Source organism: Homo sapiens, chromosome 5 (genome assembly GCF_000001405.40).
Source record: "Homo sapiens chromosome 5, GRCh38.p14 Primary Assembly".
Taxonomy (NCBI): Eukaryota; Metazoa; Chordata; class Mammalia; order Primates; family Hominidae; genus Homo; species Homo sapiens.
The window spans coordinates 156,785,108-156,793,726 of record NC_000005.10 but is presented as its reverse complement, the minus strand read 5'-3'; positions in this window follow the sequence as shown (position 1 = coordinate 156,793,726).

Sequence of the window (8,619 nt, the reverse complement as noted above, 5' to 3'; positions counted from 1 at the left end):
ATAGGCGCCTGCCACCATGCCCAGCAAATTTTTTTATTTTTAGTAGAGATGGGGTTTCACCATGTTGGCCAGGCTTGTCTCAAACTCCTGACCTCAAAAGATCCACCCACCTCAGCCTCCCAAAGTGTTGAGATTACAGGCGTGAGCCACCACGCCTGGCAGACTAAAGGCTTTTTAACACCTCTTTAAAGCCTGTGGCATGCATGGTTGGTGAAGAAGTAATTCTGATTTCAGACCATGAATTTTAAATCATTATACCTAGGCTCAAACACATCTTTATTAACCAAAAAAGGAACTATTACAATGAACACATTTTTGCCAATGAGAAATAAGTTTGTTTTTTCCTGTAGCATAAAAATATGTGCTTTGGGATTTGACAAACTCTTGCAAAGCATTTTCTGCATCCTGCTGGTTGTGGAAGTGTTTTCCCTGCAAAAAGTTATTGAGAGTGGTAGTCGCTTGGCAAAGGGTCAGGTGAATATGATAGATGAGGCAAAACTTTGTAGCTCAATTCATTTAACTTTTGAGGCCTTAGTTGTGTGACCTGCAGTCAGGTGTTATCATGAAGAATTGGGCCCTTTCTGTTGACCAATGCTGGCTGCACGCGTTGCAGTTTTTGGGACATCTCATCGATTTGCAGAGCGTACTTCTCAGATGTAATGGTTTCTCTGGGAGTCAGAAAGCTGTAGTGGATCAGACCGGCAGTGGGACCGCTGAACAATGACCAGTACTTTCTTTGGTGCAACTTAGGCTTCGAGAAGTGCTTTGGGGCTTCTTCTTGGTTCAGCCACTGAGCTGGTCATTGCTGATTGTCAAATAGAATCCGCTTTTAGTTGTACATCACAATCCAATCAAGAAATGGTTCCTTGTTTGTGCATAGAATAATAGAAGATGACACTTTAAAACAACACTTTTTTGAAAGATTTTCGCTCAGCTCATGAGACACCCAGTTAATGAGCTTTTTTACCTTTCCGATTTGCTTCAAATGCTGAACAACCATAGAATGGTCAACGATGAGTTCTTTGGCAACTTCTCCTGTAGCTGCAAGAGGATCAGCTTTGATGAATGCTCTTAATTGGTCTTATCAACTTCCGATGGCCGATCACTATGCTCCTCATCTTCAAGGCTCTGTCTCCTTTGCAAAACTTCTTGAACCACCACTGCACTGTACCTTCGTTAGCAGTTCCTGGGCCAATGAGTCGTTGATGTTGCGAGTTGTCTCCGCTGCTTTATGACCCATTTTGAACTCAAATAAGAAAATCACTCGAATTTACTTTTTGTCTAATGTCATTTCCATAGATTAAAATAAACATATAATAAACAGCAAGTAATAAGTCGTTAGCAAAAAAATAAAAATAAAATGAAGCGAGAGATGCCCATTAAAATGATGTGTAACATAATCACATTTAAGAATGTATTCCAATTTCAAATGGCATCATATGAATGACTCTACTAAGAAATGCCAATATAGTTTCCAAAGTAGGTACACTATTTACAATCCCTCTAGCATCATATGAGAATTTTAGTTTTGCCACCTCCTCACCAACACTTGCTGTTTTTGTTTTTGATTATAACCATCCTAGTGGGTGTGAAGTTGTATCTCATTGTTTATTTGCATTTTCCTAATGATTAATGATATTGAGCATCTTTTCAAATGTCCAATAAGTGCTTATTGGACATTTGTATATGTTATTTGAAGGAAATGTGAATTTAAATCCTTTACCCATTTTTAATTGAGATGTCTTTTTATTTTTGAGTTGTAATAGTCCTTTATACAAGTATATGTATATCGGTATATAAAGCACCTGTATAACAGATAAGTAAATTGTAAATGTTTTCTTTGGTTCTGTAGTTTGTCCTTTCGTTTTCTTGATGGTGACTTCGAAGCACAAATGTTTTAAATCTTGATGTTTTCTATTTACTGTTGTCTCTGTTACATGTAATTTTGGTGTCATCTCTAAGAAACAATTGCCTTACTCAAGGTCACAAAGATTTCTATGTTTTCTTCTAAGTGTTTTATCGTTTTAGAGCTTACCTTTAAGTCTATGACACATTTTGAATTAATGTTTGTATTTAGTGTGAGGTAGGTGTCCATTTTCCCTCTTTTTTAAAATTATACTTTAAGTACTAGGGTACATGTGTATAACGTGCAGGTTTGTTACATAGGTATACATGTGCCACGTTGGTTTGCTGCACCCATCAATTCGTCATTTACATTAGATATTTCTCCTAATGCCATGCCTCCCCCCAGGCCCCCACCCCGCAACAGGCCCTGGTGTGTGATGTTCTCCTCCATGTGTCCACGTGTTCTCATTGTTCAACTCCCACTTATAAGTGAGAACATGCAGTGTCTGGTTTTCTGTCCTTGTGATAGTTTGCTCAGAATGATGGTTTCCAGTTTCATCCATGTCCCTGCAAAGGGCATGAACTCATCCTTTTTTATGGCTGCATAGTATTCCATGGTGTATATGTGCCACATTTTCTTTATCCAGTCTATTATTGACGGATATTTCGGTTGGTTCCAAGTCTTTGCTATTTGAATAGTGCCACAATAAACATACGTGTGCATGTGTCTTTATTGTAGCATGATTTATAATCCTTTGGGTATATACCCAGTAATGGGATTGCTGGGTCAACTGGTATTTCTAGTTTTAGATCCTTGAGGAATCACCACACTGTTTTCCACAATGGTCAAACTAATTTACACTCCCACCAACAGTGTAAGAGCATTCCTATTTCTACACATCCTCTCCAGCATCTGTTATTTCCTGACTTTTTAATGATCACCATTCTAACTGGTGTGAGATGGTATCTCATTGTGGTTTTAATTTGCATTTCTCTAATGACCAGTGATGATGAGCATTTTTTCATGTGTCTTTGGCTGCATAAATGTCTTCTTTTGAGAAGTGTCTGTTCATATCCTTCACCCACTTTTTAATGGGGTTGTTTGTTTTTTCTTGTAAATTTGCTTGAATTCTTTGTAGACTCTGGATATTGGCCCTTTGTCAGATGGATAGATTGCAAACATTTTCTCCCACTCTGTAGGTTGCCTGTCCACTCTGATGATACTTTCTTTTGCTGTGCAGAAGCTCTTTAGTTTAATTAGATCCCATTTGTCTATTCTGGTTTTTGTTGCCATTGCTTTTGGCGTTTTACTCATGAAGTCCTTGCCCATGCCTATGTCCTGATGGTATTGCCTAGGTTTTCTTCTAGGGTTTTTATGGGTTTTTTTTTCTTGCATTTAAGTCTTTAATCCATCTTGAGTTAATTTTTGTGTAAGGTATAAGGAAGGGATCCAGTTTCGGCTTTCTACATATGGCTAGCCAGTTTTCCCAGCACCATTTATTAAATAAGGAATCCTTTTCCCATTGCTTGTTTCTGTCAGGTTTGTCAAAGATCAGATGGATGTAGATGTGTGGTGTTATTTCTGAGGCCTCTGTTCTGTTCCATTGGTCTGTATATCTGTTTTGGTACCAGTACCATGCTGTTTTGGTTACTCTAGCCTTGTAGTACAGTTTAAAGTCAGGTAGCATGATGCCTCCAGCTTTGTTCTTTTTGCTTAAGATTGTCTTGGTAATTCAGGCTCTTTTTTGGTTCCCTATGAACTTTAAAGTAGTTTTTTCCAATTCTGTGAAGAAAGTCATTGGTAGCTTGATGGGGATAGCATTGAATCTATAAATTACCTTGGCAGTGTGGCCACCTTCACTATATTGATTCTTTTTATCCATGAGCATGGAATGTTCTTCCACTTGTTTTTGTCCTCTTTTATTTCATTGAGCAGTGGTTTGTAGTTCTCCTTGAAGAAGTCCTTCACATTCCTTTTAAGTTGCATTCCTAGGTATTTTATTCTCTTTGTGGTAATTGTGAATGAGAGTTCATTCATGATTTGGCTCTCCGTTTGTCTGTTATTGGTGTATAGGAATGTTTGTGATTTTTGTACATTGATTTTGTATCCTGAGACTTTGATGAAGTTGCTTATCAGCTTAAGGAGATTTTGGGCTGAGACAATGGGGTTTTCTAAATATACAATCATGTCATCTGCAAACAGGGACAATTTGACTTCCACTTTCCCTAATTGAACACCCTTTATTTCTTTCTATTGCATGATTGCCCTGGCCAGAACTTCCAATACTATGTTAAATAGAATGGTGAGAGAGCGCATCCTTGTCTTATGCTGGTTTTCAAAGGGAATGCTTCCAGTTTTTGCCCATTCAGTATGATATTGGCTGTGGGTTTGTCATAAATAGGTCTTATTATTTTGAGATATGTTCCATCAATACCTAGCTTATTGAGAGTTTTTAGCATGACGGGATGTTGAAATTTATTGAAGGCTTTTTCTGCATCTATTGAGATAATCATGTGGTTTTTGTTGTTGGTTCTGTTTATGTGATGTATTACGTTTATTGATTTGCATGTGTTGAGCCAGCTTTGCATCCCAGGGATGAAGCCCACTTGATCGTGGTGGATAAGCTTTTTGATGTGCTGCTGGTATTTTATTGAGGATTTTTACATCGTTGTTCATCGGGGATATTGGCCTAAAATCCTTGTTTTGTTGTTGTGTCTTTGCCGGGCTTTGGTATCAGGATGATGCTGGGCTCATAAAATGAGTTAGGGAGGATTTCCTCTTTTTCTGTTGATTGGAATAGTTTCAGAAGGAATGGTACCAGCTCCTCTTTGTACCTCTGGTAGAATTTGGCTGTGAATCCATCTGTTCCTGGACTTTATGTATGTGTGTGTGTATGTGTGTGTGTGTGTGTGTGTGTGTATATATATATATATATATATACACTTTAAGTTCTAGTGTACATGTGCACAATGTGCAGGTTTGATACATTGGTATACATGTGCCATGTTTGTTTGCTGCACCCATGAATTCGTTATTTACATTAGGTATTTCTCCTAGTGCCATCCCTCCCCCAGCGCCCACCCCCCAACAGGCCCTGGTGTGGGATGTTCCCCACCCTGTGTCCAGGTGTTCTCATTGTTCAATTCCCACCTATGAGTGAGATCATGTGGTGTTGGTTTTCTGTCCTTGTGATAGTTTGCTGAGAGTGATGGTTTCCACCTTCATCCATGTCCCTGCAAAGGATATGAACTCATCTTTTTTTATGGCCGCATAGTATCCCATGGTGTATATGTGCCACATTTTCTTAATCCAGTCTGTCATTGATAGACATTTGGGTTGGTTCCAAGTGTTTGCCATTGCGAATAGTGCTGCAATAAACATACATGTGCATGTGTCTTTATAGTAGCATGATTTATAATCCTTTGGGTAAATACCCAGTAATGGGATTGCTGGGTCAAATGGTATTTCTAGTTCTAGATCCTTGAGGAATTGCCACACTGTCTTCCACAATGGTTGAACTAGTTTACAGTCCCACCAACAGTGTAAGAGCATTTCTATTTCTACACATCCTCTCCAGCATCTGTTGTTTCCTGACTTTTTAATGATCGCCATTCTAACTGGTGTGCAATAGTATCTCATTGTGGTTTTGATTTGTATTTCTCTGATGACCAGTGATGATGAGCATTTTTTCATGTGTCTGTTGGCTGTATAAAGTCTTCTTTTGAGAAGTGTCTGTTCATATCCTTCACCTACTTTTTGATGAGGTTGTTTGTTTTTTTCTTGTAAATTTCTTTGTGTCCTTTGTAGATTCTGGATATTAGCCCTTTGTCAGATGGATAGATTGCAAACATTTTCTCCCATTCTGTAGGTTGCCTGTCCACTCTGATGATACTTTCTTTTGCTGTGCAGAAGCTCTTTAATTTAATTAGATCCCATTTGTCAATTTTGGCTTTTGTTGCCATTGCTTTTGGTGTTTTAGTCATGAGGTCCTTGCCCATGCCTACATCCTGAATGGTATAGCCTAGGTTTTCTTCTAGGGCTTTTATGGTTTTATTTCTTACATTTAAGTCTTTAATCCATCTTGAGTTAATTTTTGTGAAAGGTATAAGGAAGGGATCAACTTTCATCTTTCTACCTGTTGCTAGCCAGTTTTCCCAGCACCATTTATTAAATAGGGAATCCTTTTCCCATTGCTTGTTTCTGTCAGGTTTGTCAAAGATCAGAAGGTTGTAGATGTGTGGTGTTATTTCTGAGGCCTCTGTTCTGTTCCATTGGTCTATATATCTGTTTTGGTACCAGTACCATGCTGTTTTGGTTACTGTAGCCTTGTAGTATAGTTTGAAGTCAGGTAGCGTGATGCCTCCAGCTTTGTTCTTTTTGCTTAGGATTGTCTTGGCAATGTGGGCTCTTTTTTGGTTCCCTATGAACTTTAAAGTTGTTTTTTCCAATTCTGTGAAGAAAGTCATTGGTAGCTTGATGGGGATGGCGTTGAATCTATAAATTACCTTGGGCAGTATGGCCATTTTCACTATATTGATTCTTCCTGCCCATGAGCATGGAATGTTCTTCCATTTGTTTTTGTCTTCTTTTATCTTGTTGAGCAGTGGTTTGTAGTTCTCCTTGAAGAGGTCCTTCACATCCCTTGTAAGTTGGATTCCTAGGTATTTTATTCTCTTTGTAGCAATTGTGAATGTGAGTTCACTCATGATTTGGCTCTCTGATTGTCTGTTAATGGAGTATAGGAATGCTTGTGATTTTTGCACATTGATTTTTTATCCTCAGACTTTGCTGAAGTTGCTTATCAGCTTAAGGAGAGTTTGGGCTGAGACATGGGGTTTTCTAAACATACAATCATGTCATCTGCAAACAGGGACAATTTGTCTTCCTCTTTTCCTAATTGAATATGCTTTATTTCTTTCTTTTGCCTGATTGCCCTGTCCAGAACTTCTAACACTATGTTTAATAGGAGTGATGAGAGAGAGGGCATCCTTGTTTTGTGCAGGTTTTCAAAGGGAATGCTTCCAGTTTTTGCCCATTCAGTATGATATTGGCTGTGGGTTTGTCATAAATAGCTCTTATTATATTGAGGTACATTCCATCAATACCTAGTTTATTGAGAGTTTTTAGCATGAAGGGATGTAGAATTTTGTTGAAGGCCTTTTCTGCATCTATTGAGATAATCATGTGGTTTTTGTTGTTGGTTCTGTTTATCTGATGGTTACATTTATTGATTTGCATATGTTGAACCAGCCTTGCATCCCAGAGATGACGCCGACTTGATCGTGGTAGATAAGCTTTTTGATGTGCTGCTGGATTTGGTATCCCAGTATTTTATTGAGGATTTTCGTATCAATGTTCATTAGGGATATTGGTCTAAAATTCTCTTTTTTTGTTGTTGTGTCTCTGCCAGGCTTTAGTATCAGGATGTTTCTGGGCTCATAAAATGAGTTAGAGAGGATTCCCTCTTTTTCTATCGATTGGACTAGTTTCAGAAGGAATAGTACCAGCTCCTCTTTGTGCCTCTGGTAGAATTCGGCTGTGAATCCATCTGGTCCTGGACTTCTTTTGGTTGGTAGGCTATTAATTATTGCCTCAATTTCAGAGCCTGTTATTGGTATTGGTCTATTCAGAGATTCAACTGCTTCCTGGTTTAGTCTTGGGAGGGTGTATTGTCCAGGAATTTATCCATTTCTTCTAGATTTTCTAGATTATTTGGGTAGAGGTGTTTATAGTATTCGCTGGTGGTAGTTTGTATTTCTGTGGGATCAGTGGTGATATCTCCTTTATCATTTTTTTATTGTGTCTCTTTGATTCTTCTCTGTTTTCTTCATTAGTCTTGCTAGTAGATTATTAATTTTGTTGATCTCTTCAAAAAACCCACCCCTGGATTCATTGATATTTTGAAGGGTTTTTTGTGTCTCTATCTCTTTCAGTTCTGCTCTGATGTTAGTTATTTCTTGTCTTCTACTAGCTTTTGAATTTGTTTGCTCTTGTTTCTCTAGTTTTTAAAATTGTGATGTTATGGTATCAATTTTAGATCTTTCCTGCTTTCTCTTGTGGGCATTCAGTGCTATAAATTTCCCTCTACACACTGCTTTAAATGTATACCAGAGATTCTGGTACATCATGCCTTTGTTCTCATTGGTTTCAAAGAACATCTTTATTTCTGCCTTCATTTCATTATTTATCCAGTAGTCATTCAGAAGCAGATTGTTCAGTTTCCATGTTGTTGTGCAATTTTGAGTGAGTTTCTTAATTCTGAGTTCTAATTTGATTGCACTGTGGTCTGAGAGACAGTTTGTTGTGATTTCTGCTCTTTAACATTTGCTGAGGAGTGCTTTACTTCCAATTATGTGGTCAATTTTATAATGAGTGTGATGTGGTGCAGAGAAGAATGTATTATCTGTTGATTTGGGGTGGAGAGTTCTGTAGATGTCTATTAGGTCCACTTGGTGCAGAGCTGAGTTCAAGTCCTGGATATCTTTGTTAACCTTCTGTCTCGTTGATCTAATATTGACAGTGGGGTGTTAATGATTGTGTGGGAGTCTAAGTATCTTTGTAGGTCTCTAAGGACTTGCTTTATGAATCTGGGTGCTCCTGTATTGGGTGTATATATATTTAGAGTAGTTAGCTCTTCTTGTTGACTTGATCCCTTTACCATTATGTAATGGCCTTCTTTGTCTCTTTTGATCTTTGTTGGTATAAAGTCTGTTTTATCAGAGATTAGGATTGCAACCCCTGCTTTTTTTTGCTTTCCATTTGCTTGGTAGATC